A 17,265-nucleotide genomic window follows, 5' to 3' on the forward strand; every position below is an offset into this window, starting at 1 on the left:
AAAGTAAGGTTTTATACCATAGTTGGAAGATACTCTTAAAAAATGCAACACTAAAAGGAAATGGCTAAGTAGCTGACAATTTCCTCTCAGACACTATTGCTTATGTTTTATTAACTTAAAAAAGACTTTCTTCTAATCTGGTTCCACATTATAAATGAGACAAAATTAAGAAGTGGTTGTGACTCTCAAGGTCACAAAGTTTGTATTTCCTCCTTGGTCACATGGCAGATAGCTAATGGCCATTCAAACACCAAAGCCACTCTCTTGTTTCTTCTGATATGAGGTTAACAGCATGCTAAAACAGAATTATCTTCCTCTGTCTCAGTTTCTTGATTCCTATTTTTGTCACCTCACTAATCAATAGAGTGGTGAGAGAGCCACTGAGATAGTAAATCAAATGCTAATGTCCCTTTTTGATTTGCCAGGTTAGATTGTTTATCACTTCTAAGTGGTTGGTTTTTGGCATTCTATATAAACTTTGAATTACTTACTGAAAAAAAAAAACTGTAAGATGCTGCAAGCAGCAGGTATTTCCTCTTACTTTTTTTCTGAGACATAACAATTGCATACTCTAGACTGTAAGTATCAATGATGGAACAGAAACAGAGTTGTCCTAAGAGAGACAACCACACACACCTGAAATCCGACTTTAGAACATGTTTCAGTCTCAGTTCCTGCTCTTTTCAATGAATAATTAAAGCGCATCAAGCATCAAATTGTATGTCTTTATTTTTGATGGTAAGTAGTTCAGATGAGTTCCTCCATAATGAAATCAACACATAATTTTCAATGTTCTCAAAAACATTTATTCACAAACCAATATATTATATGTTTTCCAAAATCCAAGTCCCATATCTGAGTTTGCTTGAAACCTTTAGAGGTAGGTCCTCCCACCATCTCACCAATTGCACTTTCACGTGGTGGACACAACCATGATATATATTAGGAAAGGCATTGATCTTGAAGTGGACTCAGCTTCAAGTTCCACTACTAAAATGTACTACCTATGTGGTTTGAAAAAAATGTGAGTATTATTTGCAAGTCTCAATTCCTTCTTTGTAGAATAGTAAAATCATTTACCTTACAAGGTTATTTGGGAGATGGAATGATGTGAGACAGTGTGCTCTGTAATTAGTTTTATATTTGAGAAAGTTAAGGTCTGTTAGAATAGAATTCAATGTACAAATAATCTCATTACCATGGAGTTTTAGCTACAAATGTAGGGATGAATTGATAATTAGCATATATTATTTGATGATTATAGTTTTCTAAGAAAAACAAACCTTCTTTAGTACTAAAATGTCTCTGTTTGCTTTTGCATTTTTTTTTGTATATAGTGATAATCAGAGCATTGTTGAAAACTAACAACTCCCAATACTGAGAAAGATCCCATGCAGTCATCATGAGAGAATTTCATCTCCAGCTTTGCCTCTCTCAGCAGTAAGCCATTAGCTCTGGGAATAGAGCCGACAGTAATTTAAGATGGTGTCATATCACTGGGGCCACTTTTTGGAAAATTATAGGATGTTGTGTTCCATTTGTGTCAAATTTGGTGTGAAGGGATGTCAGAAATGCGACTGTTGTTACCAGAAAACCGCTTTTCTGCTCTTTGACAATGAGAAAACCAGCCATGTTTCTTAGAGACATAGATATGGTGATGACAATCTGTCAGTCTGAGGAGCTCAGAAAGTACTACAAAACCAAAAATAGTATATTTTTCTTCACTTTGATTTACACTTCTGAAGACTTTTCCTTTGCTTAACCACTGGTGTGATTTATTCAAGAGTTACAATAAATGTAATACACTTTTTAATTTACTCTGCCTAAGTCTTTCTAATTAGATAGTTACAACTACTAAAATATTCACATGGAGAGTAATCATTCAAAGAGCTTTCACAGGAAGCAATTGTAAGATGCCTATATTTTGTGTAATTACATAGCTCATTCTTTGTCTTTCGCAAGAGAATTTTGTATGGGATAATAACTTCAGAATATGATATTAATATAACTGATGCCAGAGTTATTACCAATCTTAATTTGCACCTTTCATGCTACTTTGAATATTTTATTTATGCTGAAATGTCAACTATGCATCTGAAAATGGCCCAAAAGGAACCTTAGCTATCCAACTCTTCAGATAGAATGTCCCCATATCATCCCCGATAATATTAAATCCTCTAAGATTCTGTATACCTTTGTGCTTATAGATGATTGAAGAAGATCAAATGTCTCATGGATAATTTATTCCTATTTTTGTAAATCTCCAACACAAACTCTTTTAAAAGTAATTGCGAGATACCGATTGAGGGCTAACTCAAATAATGCAGTGATTTAAGTGGAGATACAAAGAAGTTGCTAAATGCTCTAGAATTAGAACAATACCTGTTTCTTCATATAAGATTCTTATGCTCTCTGGTATTAAAAAGGAAGGTTAACCTTTTTTTGGTAAACTTTACTATCAACATACATACACACACACACACACACACACACACACACACACACACACACATGCTACACCAGAAATGAAAAAGTGTGGTCTTTAAAAAAAATGTGATTTTTATAGCAGTAACCATCTCATCTGTTTTCCTTTCATTTTCTCCTGTAGAAAGTGCCTGAAACATGCATTTGCTAAGCTTTTATAAGTGATGTCCTCTTATCAGGAAATTGCTGAAACACTAAAACAGCTCAGTCTTTTCCACTGTGAGGGCACAAAAGAGGCAAAGAAGAGGAGGTAGAGTGGAAATTAAAGCCTAGATTCTCTCTAATTAACATATCAATGGTAAGTCCTTCCTCATGGGTCTCATAGACACTTTGGATGGTTCCAGGGGCTTAAGCATTCTTGCCAATTCCTCCAAATGGGCCACCTACTGGGAGAATATCCCAACTGCACAAGGCTGTAAGGTAGATAGCTAGAGGCAAGGTTTGGCATGAGGAAGAAAACAAGAAGTTGCACTTCAAATGGTTCGTCTATGCCGGGAGATCATACAGGGAGAGAAGCCAGTTCGTTAACAAACCAGAAAAATGCATCACCAAGAGTGAGATGGCATTAGGACACACGAAATACAGAAGAAGAAACAAAGACCTAAACAGTGCAAGGCAAAGAAATAATGAAAACTAGCAACACTAGAGCTTCCTCACAATCATTTATATGTAGGGTATGGGGCTACTCACATTGTCCTAGCCCACAAGGCTAAGTGCATAAAGAAATGTCATTGCCCTCTTTACCTGCTGCACCAAGATGAGAGTAAGAGTGTTGGAAAGAGCCTACTGTGAAAGGAGAGACCACTGCCCTCTCCAACCCTCACAACTGAAGCTCTTAGCCTAACATCTCTGGGATAGAGAAAATGAATGTTTTGAATGAAATGTAAAATTGAAGAATTTAAATAAACAAGACCAAGTTTTAATTACTGAAATAAGACATTTTGAATAACCAAAACAACAAACACTTTATGGGCTCAGGCAAAGTTATTGTTAAAGTACATGTCAAACACAGAAAAGGGGCACTTAACAGAAAACTCAGCAATAGCAGTTCCTACAAAAAATAAAACATAATTTTTTCATCAGTAAGTTAAGATTCCTAAATTAATCTGGTTTAGAATTTTAATATTGCAGTTATAAATTTTGAAAGATTTTACAAACACAAAATTATCAATGTATCTTTGTGTATAAACCTAAAACTTTAAAAATAAATTCTTTTATTTTATTTTCTTTTTTTACAATTCTGTCCAGAAGGCTTTTTTAATTTTTAATTTTTGGGGGGTACATACTAAGTGCATATATTTATTGGGTACATGAGATCTATTGAAACAGGCATAAATGCATAAAAGTCACAATAGAGTCAATTAGGTATCCGTCACCTCAAGCGTTTATCCTTTCTTTGAGTTACAAACAATCTAATTATATTCTTTCAGTTATTTTTAAAGGTATAATAAATTATTGTTGATTGTAGTCACACTGTTGTGCTATCAAATACTAGATCTGAATTATTCTAATTATATTTTTGCACCAACTAAACATCGCCCCTAGGCACACCCTTCTACCCTTCCCAGCCTCTGGTAACCATTCTGCTACTATCTTCATGAGTTAATTTTCCTTTTTTTTAATTTTTAGCACCCACAAATAGATGAGATATATGAAATTTGTCTTTCTGTGCCTGGCTTATTTCACTTAACATAATGACCTCTAGTTCCATCTATGTTTTTGCAAATGACAGGATCTCACTCTTTTTTATGGCTGAATAGTACTCCATTGTGTATATGTACTATATTTTCTTTATACATCTTTTGATGGACACTTGGTTTACTTCCAAATCTTGTCTATTGTGAATAGGGCTGCAATAAACACTGGAGTGCAGATATCTCTTTCATATACTGATTTCCTTTCTTCTGAGTATATAGCTAGCAGTGGGATTGCTGGATCATATGGCAGCTCAATGTTTTGTTTTTGAGGAACCTCCAAACTGTTCTCTTCTCCAGTGTGGCTATATTAATTTGCATTCCTACCAGCAGTGTTCGAGGGTTCCCCTTTCTCCATATTTTTGCCAGCATTCATTATTTCCTGTCTATTGAAGAAAAGCCATTTAAACTGGGGTGACATGATATTTTGTTGTAGTTTTGATTTGTAGTTCTCTCATAATGATGTTGAGCACCTTTTCATATACCTGTTTGCCATTTGTATGTCTTCTTTCAAGAAATATCTATTCAGATATTTTGCTCATTTTTAATTGGATTGTGAGATTTTTTTTCCTATATAGCTGTTTGAGCTTCTTATATATTTTGATTATCAGTCCCTTGTCAGTTGGGTAGTTTGCAATTTTTCCCCATTCTGTGGATTGTCTCTTCACTTTGTTGATTGTAACCTTTGCTGTACAGAAGTTTTTAACTTGATGTGATCCCATTTGTTCATTTTTGCTTTGGTTGCTTGTGCTTGTGGGGTATTGCTCAAGAAATTCTTGCCCAGTCCAATGTCCTGGAGAATTTTCCAAATGTTTTCTTTCAGTAGTTTCATAGTTTTGAGTCTTAGATTTAAGTCTTTAATCCATTTTGATTTGATTTTTGTACATGGCAAGAGATAAGGGTCTAGTTTCATTCTTCTGCATATGGATCTCCATTTTTTTCCCAGCACCAATTATTGAAGAGATTGTTTTTTCTCTGGTATATGTTCTTGGCACCTTTGTCAAAAATGATTTCACTGTAGATGTATGAATTTGATTCTAGGCTCAACATTCTGCTTTGTTGGTCTATGTGTTGGTTTTTACACTGGTACTATGGTATTTTGGTTACTATAGCTCTGTGGTATAATTTGAAATCAAGTAATGTGATTCCTCTAGTTTTGTTCCTTTTGCTCAGGATAGCTTTGACTATTCTGAATCTTTTGTGGTTCCATATAAATTCTAGGATTTTTTTCTATCTCTGTCAATAATGTTATTAGTACTTTGATAGGGATTCCATAGAATCTGCAGATTGCTTTAGGTAGTATGAGCATTTTAACAATATTCATTATTTCAATTCAAGAACATGGAATAGCTTTTCAGTTTTTTTGTGGCCTCTTCAGTTTCTTACACCAATGTCTTAGAGTTTTCATCATAGAGATCTTTTGGTTCTTTGGTTAAATTAATTCCTAGGTATTTTACTTTATCTGTAGCTAATTTAAATGAGATTATTTTATGATTTATTTTTCAAATTGTTTGCTTTGGCATGTAGAAATGCTACTATTTTTGTACGTTGATTTTGTATCCTCCAACTTTACTGAATTTGTTTAGTAATTCTAATAATTTTTGCTGGAGTCTTTAGGTTTTTCCAAATATAAGCTCAAATCATATGCAAACAAGGATAATTTGACTTATTCCTTTCCAATTTGGAAGCCCTTTATTTCTTTCTCTTGTATGATTGCTCTAGCGAGGACTTCCGGTACTATATTGAATAACAGTGGTGAAAGTGGGCATCCTTGTTGTGTTCCAGATGTTAGAAAAAAGGCTTTCAGATTTTCCACTTTCAGTATGATACTATCTGTGGTTCTGTCATATGGCTTTTATTGTGTTGAGGTATGTACCTTCCATACACAGTTTTTTGATCATAAATAAAGGCTGAATTTTGTCAAGTGTTTTTTCAGTAAAATTGAAATGATCATATGATTTTTTTGTCCTTCATTCTGTTGCAATGATGTATCACATTGACTTATATATGTTGAACCAACCTTGCATATGTTGAATCAACCTTGCATCCCTGGAATAAATCCCACTTGGTCATGATGAATGATTTTTTTAATGTGTTGTTGAATTTGGTTTTCTAGTATTTTATTGAGGATTTTTGCATCAATTTTCGTCAGGGATATTGGCCTGTAGTTTTCTTTATTTGAGTAGCTTTGTCTGGTTTTGGTATCAGGGTAATGCTGGACTCATTCACTGGTTTCCTAGAATGAGTTTGGAAGTATTCCCTCTTTCTCTATTTTTTGGAACAGTTTGAGTATGACTGGTATTAGTTCTTCTTTATATGTTTGGTAGAATTCAGCAGTGAAGCTTAGGGTCATGGGCTTTCCTTTCCTGGGAGATCGTTATTACGGGCTTCAGTCTCATTACTTGCTATTGGTCTGCTCAGGTTTTGGATTTCTTTGTGATTCAATCTTAGCAGGTTGTATGTGTCTAGGAATTTATCCATTTTTTCTGAATTTTCCAATTTATTGACATGTAGTTGCTCACAGTGGTCTTTAATGATCGCTTGAATTTCCATTTTTTTTTTTTTTTTTTTTCTGACGGAGTGTTGCACTGTCGCCCAGGCTGGAGTGCAGTGGCGCAATCTAGGCTCACTGCAAGCTCCACCTCCCACGTTCACTCCATTCTCCTGCCTCAGCCTCCTGAGTAGCTGGGACTACAGGCGCCCACCACCACTCCCGGGTAATTTTTTGTATTTTTAGTAGAGACGGGGTTTCACCGTGTTAGCCAGGATAGTCTCGATTTCCTGACCTCGAGATCCACCCACTTCGGCCTCCCTAAGTGCTGGGATTACAGGCATGAGCCACTGCGCCCCGCCCGGTATTGGGTTTAATGTCTTCTTTTCCATCTCTGATTTTATTTGTTTATGTCTTCTCTCTTTTTTTTTCTTATTTAGTCTGGCAAAAGAGTTGCCAATTTTATTTATCTTTTCAAAAAACCAACTTTTCATTTTGTTTATTTTTAATTTTTTTTCATTTCAACTTTATTTCTGTTCTGATATTTATTATTTATTTTCTAATGTCAATTTAGGTTCAGGTTTGCTTTTGTTTTTCTAGTTATATAAGATGCATTGCTAGGTTGTTTATTTGAAGTTTTTCTACTTTTTTGATGTAGGTGCTTATAGCTATAAATATTTATTTTTGTACTGCTTTTGCTGTATCCCATGGGTATTGGTATGTTGTGTTTCCATTATCATTTGTTTCAAAAAATTTTTTTATTTTTCTTTTTCATTTATTCATTGACCCACTGGTCATTCAGAAGCATATGGTTTAATTTCTATGTGTTTGCAGAGTGTTCAAAATTTCTCTTGTTATTGATTTCTAGTTTATTCCATTGTAGTCAAAGAAGATACTTGATATAATTTAAATTTTTTGAATGTTTAAGACTTGTTTTGTGGCCTAAAATGTGATCTATCTTTGACAGTGATCCATAAGCTCCAGGACACAATGTGGGTAGACATTGGATAAAATGTTCTGTAAATATCTGTTAGGTCCATTTGGTTTATAGTGCAGAGTAAGTCTGATGTTTGTTTGTTGATTTTATGTCTGAAAGATCTGTCCAATGCCGAAATTGGGGGTGTTGAATTCTCCAGCTATTATTGTATTGGGGTCTATAGCTTTCTGTAGCTCTAATAATATTTGCTTTATATATCTGGGTGCTCCAGTGTTAGGTACATATATGTTTATCATTGTTATATCCTCTTGCTGTATTGACCCTTTTATCATTGTATAAAAACCTTCTTCTTCTCTTTTTATAGTTTTTTTCTTTTGCTTGAAATCTGTTTTGTCTGATATAAGCATAACTACTCCTGCTCTTCTTTGTTTTCTATTTGTTGAAATATCTTTTTCCATCCCTTTATTTTCAGTTTATGAGTGTCTTTTAAAGTAAAGTGTATTTCTTGTAGCTAACAAATCACTGGGTCTTTAAAAAAAAATGTTTAACCACTCTATGTCTTTCTGATTGGAGAGCTTACTCTATTTGCATTCATGTTATTATTGATAAGTAAGGACTTACTCATGCCATTTTGTTATTTGTTTCATGATTGCTTTTTGGTCTTCTCTTCCTTCTTGTTATCTTGAGGCTTGCATATAATATCTTATAACCCATTATTTTAAACTGATATCAACTTAACACTGATTGCATAAACAAACAATGAATGACAACACTAACACAATTTCTACGGTTTAACTTTGTCCTCCACTTTATAATTCTTTGTTGTTTCTGTTTATATCTAATTGTATTTGCTATATCTTGAAAAGTTGTTCAGTTATTGTTTTTGTTCAATTCTTTTAATCTTTCTACTTAAGATATGAGTAGTTTATACACTACAATTACAGTATTATAATATTATCTTTTTCTGTGTACTTACTATTCCCAGTAAGTTTTGCACCTTCAGTTGCTTTCTTATTGCTTATTAACATCCTTTTCTTTCAGATTCAATAACTCTCTTTAACATTTTTTGTAAGACAGATCTGGTGTTGATGGAATCCCTCAGCTTTTGTTTGTCTGGAAAAGTCTTTATTTCTCCTTCATATTTGAAGGATATTTTCACTGGATATACTATTCTAAATAAATGTTTTTTTTTCCTTCAACTATTTAAATATGTCATGCCAATGTCTCCTGGGCTTTAAGGTTTCCACTGAGAAGTCTGCTACCAGATATAATGAAGCTCCATTGCACATGGTTTGTTTCTTTCTCTTAGTGCTTTCAGGATCCTTTCTTTATCTTTGACCATTGGGAGTTTGATTATTAAATATCTTGAGATACTCTTCTTTGTGTTAAATATGCTTAGTATTTTATAATCTTCTTTTACTTGAATACTGATATTTTTTCTAGGTTTGAGAAGTACTCAATTAATTATCCCTTTGAATAAAGTTTCTACCCCATCTCTCTCTCTCCCTTTCCCTTAAGGCCCAAAACTCCTAAATTTGCCCTTTTGAGGTTATTTTCTAGATCTTGCAGGCATGTTACAATTTTTAAATTCTTTTATCTTTTATACATAATCCTTTGATTATTTATAATCACAGTCCTTTGTGTATTTTCAAATAGCCTGTTTTCAAGATTACTAATTATTTCTTATGCTTGATCACGTCTGCTGATAAGAGGTTCTGATGCATTCTTTAGTATGTCAATTGTATTTTCATCTCCAGAATTTCTGCTTGATTCTTTTAAATTATATCAATCTCTGTAAAATTTATCTGATAAAATTCCAAATTCCTTCTCTGTGTTATCCTGGATTTTGTTGAGTTTCCTCAAAACAGCTAATCTGAATTCATTTTCCAAAAAAAAAAAAAAAAAAAAAAAAAAAGGTCACATACATCTATCTGTCTCTCCAGGATTGGTCCCTCATGCCTTATTTAGTTTGTTTGATCGAGGTCATGTTTTCCTGGATGGTCTGAATGCTTGTGGATGTTTGTCAGTGTGTTGGCATTGAAGAGTTAAGTATTTATTGTAGTCTTTGCAGTTTCAGCTTGTTTGTACATATCCTCCTCAGAAAAGCTTTCCAAGTATTCGAAAGGACTTGAGTGTTGTAATCTGTTTTTGGTCTCTGCAGCTGTGTCTACATTAGGGAGCACCCCATGCCTCATAACACTGTGGCTCTTCCAGACTTGTAGGGATATGATCTTCATGGTCTCAGATAAAATCTGGAAGAATTCTCTGAATGACCAGGCAGAGATCCTTGCTCTCATCTTTTAATTTCTCCCAGACAAATGGAGTCTGTCTGTCTGTGCTGACCTGCCTGGGGGAGAGATCATACAAACACCACGGTGGACACCATGACTAGGATTGTCAGACCTGAAGCCAGCATGGTATTTGGTCTCACCCAAGGCCTGCAGTAACCACTGCCTGCCTACCATCTATGTTCACTCAAGGCCCTAGGGTTCTACAATCAGTAGGAAGCAAAGCCAGCTAGGCTTCTGTCCTTTCCTTCAGGGTGACAAGTTCTGCCTTGTTCCAGGCAGGTCTGGAGATACCATCGAGGAGTCAGAGCCTCGAGTTGGAAACCTTAGGAATCTTCCTAGTGCTGTGGCTGAGCTGGTACCAAAGCCGCAAGACAAATTCCTTCTCACTCTTTCCTCCACAAACAGAGGAGTCTCTCCCCATGGCCACCACTACCTCAGGCCTGTGGCTGGCTATTGTTGAGAGCCAAATTATATACCTAATGCTAAGGTATATAGCATAAGGTGTATAAGAATGCTTGTGATTTTTGCACATTGATTCTCAGCAAACTATCACAAGGACAAAAAAACCAAACACCGCATGTTCTCACTCATAGGTGGGAATTGAACAATGAGAACACATGGACACAGGAAAGGGAACATCACACACCGGGGACTGTTGTGGCGTCGGGGGAGGGGGGAGGGATAGCACTGGGAGATACACCTAATGCTAGATGACAAGTTAGTGGGTGCAGCACACCAACATGGCACATGTATACATATGTAACAAACCTGCACATTGTGCACATGTACCCTAAAACTTAAAGTATAATAATAATAAAATTAAAAAAATTGAGATTATAGTACTATTAATTCTCACAGTAATATTTTTATACTTTCTTTTTCTGGCTTTAAAGATTATTTTATATTTCTTTCAAAAAAATCATAGTTTTTAATGTTTTGTATGTTCTTGAAAATGCTTTGTATTATTAACTTTTCGAGTAGATTTTTACATATAGTCTATTAGATCAAGCTTGTAGTGTTAGATAATTCCTTTAAATTTAACTTTTTGCACACTTAATCTACCACTTATAAAACATGTAAAAACTTCATACTACATATCTATTTCTTACCACAATTATGTTAATTTTTGACTTATGTGTTATATAATTTGATGCTATGCTAATGAATCATACATGATTGATTTGTTATAATTTTCTGCTAAATTAAAATTTTAAGAAATCTTTTTGGTGATCACTTTATCTCTAGTTATAACTTTTGTTCACAGTCATATTAGGAATTATAGTTAAGTTCTACAACTTATTTTTTGTTTGTATTTGCCTGCTAAATTTTAATTTTGGATTGTTTTAATATGAATCCTTGGAATTTTTTTGCTGAAAATCTTTGCTTTGGGCTGAAAATATTGTCTGTGTTTTCCTGTCTTATGCTTTCTTTTGGACTTATGTTCTTCCTTTTCTGGACAAGTTTGAAATCAATTCAGTAGACATTCACATTCTATTTCTCTTCTCAGCACTTAGAAATAATACTCTGAGTTTTAACATTTTTTATATGCTAGATAAACACACATAACTTACCACATTCTAAAGTTAATAAATGTATTTTTTCTCCAGAAAAATATAATCACTGTATAATATTTAATTCTAAATATTCTATTCAAAATTTCATAGTAATATTTTCCAGTATTTGTATCTATCTCTTTTTTTGTTGTTTAAATCTCATAGGCCTATAAGACATTATTATCATTGTTTTACTCAGTCAATACTTACTTGATTTGGCAACAAATGTACATCTTTGTGCTCATCTTAATACTTGTATCACAATGCTTCCATCTGGGACTATTTTCTTTCTGACCATAGAATTCATTTAAAATTTCTTTTATTGGAAATCAGCTAGTCACATACTTTCTCAGTTTTTTTTAATGTAATTAAGTGTATTTAATTTAAAAATCTTGGTGTTTTGTTAATTTCTCGTGGGTAATTATTTTCCTGATGTCACATTGAGTATTTTTTTCTGATCTCTAAAATGGTCACCGAGTAAATGATGCCTTCTAGTATTTATACCCTTTTGTAGACAATTTTTTTTGAACTGGTACTAGCAGTATGACTAGCTTTTTACTAATAGAATGCAGAGCAATTGATACTGGGTGACAATTAAGGCCATATCTTAAGAATCCTTGCAAATTATCATGTGGTGTTAGAATGTTTACTCCAGGGGAATATCAGCCCTATGTAAAATATCTCCATCACTTGAGGTTACTATTCTGTGAATAAACCCAAGATAGCCTTATGGAGAGAGAAAGGGATAACACATTGTTTCAAGCCACAGATTTTTGAGCTGGTTTATTATGAGCAACAAATAACCGGTATAAAATCAGTCCATTCCCTTTTTGTGTTTATTTGTTTATGAACATTTTTTTTCCTTAACTAATCTAATTGACATTCCATTAGAGTAAAACAGGATTGAAGTGCGTTAGAGTTAACCAACTGCAAAGTTTGAAGGAACAGACTATACAAAACCATCCTCAATTGCAGGTTTAGAGAGCTCTCAAAACTTTCCTCAGTTTTGATAATTTGCTAGCACTCACAGAATTTACTGAGAACCATTATACTCATGGTTACAATTTATAACAGGGAGATCGGGGTACAGATAAAAATCATCCAAAAGATGAAATGCATAGGGCAGAGTTCAGGAGGGTTCCAAACTTCTAAATGTCCTTTCCCGTTGAGTGATAGACAGTGGTAATGCTATTTGGAAATGATGTGTGACAATACACATGGAATATTTTGAACCAGTGAAGCTCTTGGTGTCCAGTTTTTACTGGGGTTCTATCACATAAGCCTGGTTGACTCCCCAAGTGGCTGACCTCAGTCTCTAACCTCTCAGGAGGTTAAGGTGACCCAATGTCCAGATGCTAATTACATTGTTGGTGTGGCTCAATTCTCTCACCCAAATCACAGTATTACTATCTAGCTGCCCCAAGGCCCTTGAACAAACAAAGATAGTGCTATTAGGCATGACACTCTAATGGCTCAGAGATTACCTCCTAGCAGTAAAGGACAAAAGCCAGATGCATTTGGGATTCACTAACTGTATTCTACTAAGTCTTCTTTAAATGGTATTCTAGCTTTATCATTATAGCATTTTTTCACCATGTTTCATAAAATGCTGCCACAAACAAAAACAAATTGCACTATCTTTGCATAAATCTAACTCCAGCTATCAGTTTTCTTCTTTTCTTTTCTCTTTTTGCCGAATAGGCCTTAATCATTTCCAAATATTCTGAAGGCCATGAGACAGCATATCATGGAGTGAATCTCAGGCAATAGTAACAGAATTGTTGTGCTTAATGCTCATAGTTTCAAAAGAGTAGAGCACTTAGAGGGGGTAAAATATTTAATTATCATAATCTACTCTAGGAGTACTCTTACAGTTAGGCTTCCCAAGTTTACCTATTAAAAATACAAGAAAATATTTAAATTTGAAATTCAGTTAACCAATATTTTTAGGCTAAGACTGTGTGAAGTATTACATACATATACACTATAAAAATTACTAATTGTGTATCTAAAAATCAAATAGAAATGAGTATTTTTCTGGAAATCCTACTTCAGCTATTCTTTCAATCTAGTGATAGTATGAACTAAGAAAAAATGTGATCATTGATTTGGACTTGTAAAACATTCTTGAAGGTACACAAAAATGTTAAACTAAATATATACCTATATAGAGTATTATCATTTATTACAACAATTTTGAAAAGAATAAGCTAACTATAGAGTTGATTATTCCCCAAAGATTTATATCAACTATTTAATAAGGCTAATTTCAACATTGATTTCTGCTTTTCTGTAATTTCTCAATGCCAAAATAAATAAGAAAATGTTAACATATGGTGAGTTAAAACGTTATTGATACTTTTAACATCTCACAAATGTTATTTTTAGGGTACTTCCCTAAAAGCACCCAAGCAATTAAAGCTTTAGGTGACCTACCTGATGATTTAGTCCATTAATGTTGGACAATATTCATGGCTGTGTCATGAGCTAAACTCTAGTTACTCTTAACATTTGATTTAAAATAATGCATAATTAACCTTAGCTTCTTTAATAACATTATGCTGTGTTTTTACAACCAAATAATGAAACCTTACCGTATAACTTGTATTTTACTGGGATTGACATACATACCAAAAATAATTGTTACATGCCTTCTGATAGTTCCAATTAGTTAGCATCATAAAGAAATAGCTGTAAACAAGAACAATATTCCAGCCTGAATCATGAATTATAAATTTACAAATTGATTTTCTTACGCTTCTCCATTGACTTGAACCTTAAAAACATGGCATTGACTGAGTAGGTTCTCTGTTGTGTATGATGATGAGAAAGAAGCTTGAAAGGACTGACATGACAAAAAATGTTGCAATGCATTTATCTTAACAAGAACTATTGATGGGGGAATCTACTTATTCTCCATTTTTCTAGCCGATCCAATTATTGGAACCCTTTCATTATACTAAGCCATAATATATGGTATGTTCTAAGAGATTTTGTGAAGGCAAGAAAAAAACCGTAAGAAGTAAGAATAAGCCAAAAATGTATCTATTTTTGTCTTTGCAAAAATTATAGACACAAGTAGTGCTTAAAAATTGTCTTTCTAATGCTTCCTGTAAGAAATGTGGCTTTCCATTATTTTGTCCCTTTATAGTCATGTCATTTACTCACCCCTTCATTTTTTTACTATTTCAAGTATGGATTGAATTCTTAGTACAAAACCACATAGAATGCTATGTTCTGACTATTCAATGATGAATAAGTAACAATAGCTTCTTTCAATACATTTATAAACTAGTGGAGAAAAATAGACGAGAAAATCAATTATTGCAGCAAAAAGTAAAAACTGCTAACATCAGAGAAATGTACAGTGAGAAGAGAGGAGAAGTTTTTTTTCAGACTGTGTGTTAGTGAAAGGAAAGTATATCATAAAACATTTCCACAAGGACATCATATAAGCTAAGTAATTATTCTACATTATTTTTGAAAATTATTTTCCTAAATATCTATCGTGGAAGAGAATATTGGTGTGTAGAGTTCAGTCATGGGGTGGGATAAAGTTGAGGGAAAGAAAAAAAATTGTATGTGTGTTAGGAATTTCACCCCAGGTCTCAAAAAATATAATATGGGGAAAAACTCAAACTTTAAAAGTAGGCTAAAATACAGGTCATGAAGTAAAATGAGCAAAGCAGTGTTTTGCCTGTGAGTTGTCAGCTCCCCAGTCCTGAGATAAAAATATTTAAAATCCATACATATTAAATTACTGTTTTAACTTACATCTAGCAATTTTTATTTATTGATTTAGACATTTGAATCAAAGCAAAAATTTTAAACTTTTGTTCACAAAACCATCTCACACTCCCAGGTGTTGACTTTTATTCTCGAAAACTCTTCTCCTTCAAATTAATTCCAAGATATAATCTCAACTGAGAGACACAAAATATATAGGCAATGTCATTTTAAAGATCTGTTGAGTGTTTTTGTTCTGATATTTTGTGGTAGGGCTTACTTAATGACATTTGTTTTATGCCATTAATAAATTATAAGTCTAGGCTTTGCAATCCAATATTACACATAGAGGAACAAGTGGATTTCAGACATGTTTATTCCTTTCTTAATCTCTTTCCTCATTCTTTTTTGTTGGTTGAAGAGTGACAAAGATTGTAAACAATCAATTGGCATCTTTCAAGCTTTAGAATATAGAAAAGTGTGGTTGTGTACTAGATACCCTGCTAAGCATTTTTAAAGCTATATATTTATCACAAAGGAGGTGGTAACATTATTTTTTCCTGTATTACATATGATGAAACTGAAATTTTGAATTGTTGAGTAACTTAACCAAGGTCATATAGTTAATAAATTGCAGAATTTAAATTACTTTTTGGTTCTATCTGACTCTAGGGCCCATACTCTAAAATATCATGCATTAGTGCATGCTGCACCTGCAACTTACCAAGACCTTATGCCCAGGGGAGGGAGGGAATATCTCTTTGTATAGATGTACATTCTGAGAAAAAATTATAAAATTAGTGAATCTTCTTATTTTTCTTATTTTCTTGTTTCTGTGTCTTTGTGTGTATGCTTTTTGGTCTTTCTATTTCATTGTTTTTGCATCTTTTCCTGAGTATCTTTTTCTTTTCCCTCCCTCCTTCGCTCCCTCCCTTCCTTCCTTCCTTCCTTCCCTTTCTTTCTTTGTCATGCTGTCTAATGTTCTTTCTTTCTCTCTCGCTCTGTCTTTTGTGCATGCACACGTCATGATGTTTGGATCATGCCGCTTTATATTTAATAAAATCACATAAAGGAAAATAAATGAAGGAAAAAATGCATCATTCAATTCTCCAGTTTTCCAAACTAAGCAATTCATGAAAACTTATGATAGCAAAGAATGTTTGTTTAATCTTATGTATTTCTTTCCCTGTCAAAAGAATTTGAAATGATATCACCATTAGACAAAGTCAACTTAAAACGCAAAGGAGGAAAAGTAAAATTATAAGATCCAATTAATTCATTTCCAATGGAGTTTCAAATAAATATAGTTTGTATTTAAGCAAATTCGCTACTTATTTGAATTGTACAACTGTAATATCCACTGGTTTATTAAAAGGAGACATGGGATAATCTACACATAAAAAATGTTTCTGAAACCCATAGACCTTTAGAAAAAAATATTTCAAACACTGACTAGAAATCATTCCAAAGCCCTGGTGTTCTGCATCACTGTAGGGTGAACATGATTAACTACACTTTATTTTATATTTTGAAAAACTAGAAGGGAGTATTTTGAATGTTTACAACACAAAGTAATGATAAATGTATGAGGTGATGAATATACTAATTATTCTGATTTGATCGTTACACATGGAATACATGTATTGAAATATTGTTCTGTATCCTATAAATATGTACAATTATTACATGACAACTGAAAATGAAAGGAAAACATATAACTAAAGAGAAATTATTCTAAAGTTAAAATGTAACAGATATAAATCATTTTGAGAAAAAAATCTTTATCTATAAAAGCTGTGTAGTGAATAGTTGCTTGTTTCATGTGAATTAAAAAGTCCTGTTCTAGGAAAACTCAATTAATGATTGAACCATTGTGGAGGTCCATTTCGGAAGTTCTGATAAATAAAATAACATCACTTTCTTTAAGTGACTGCTAGTAAGAAGAGCCTTGCCAGTGGGAGCAAATGCCTATTTTCTTCTCGTTGTTCACAAGGAGAACGGATGTTTTAGAAAAGATCAATGGATTACTTTGCACATAACCATAATGTAGCTGCTCCAACAAGAATTTTGGGAAATCAGAGTTCTGTTT

This window comes from Homo sapiens, chromosome 6, assembly GCF_000001405.40.
Source record: "Homo sapiens chromosome 6, GRCh38.p14 Primary Assembly".
NCBI lineage: Eukaryota > Metazoa > Chordata > Mammalia > Primates > Hominidae > Homo > Homo sapiens.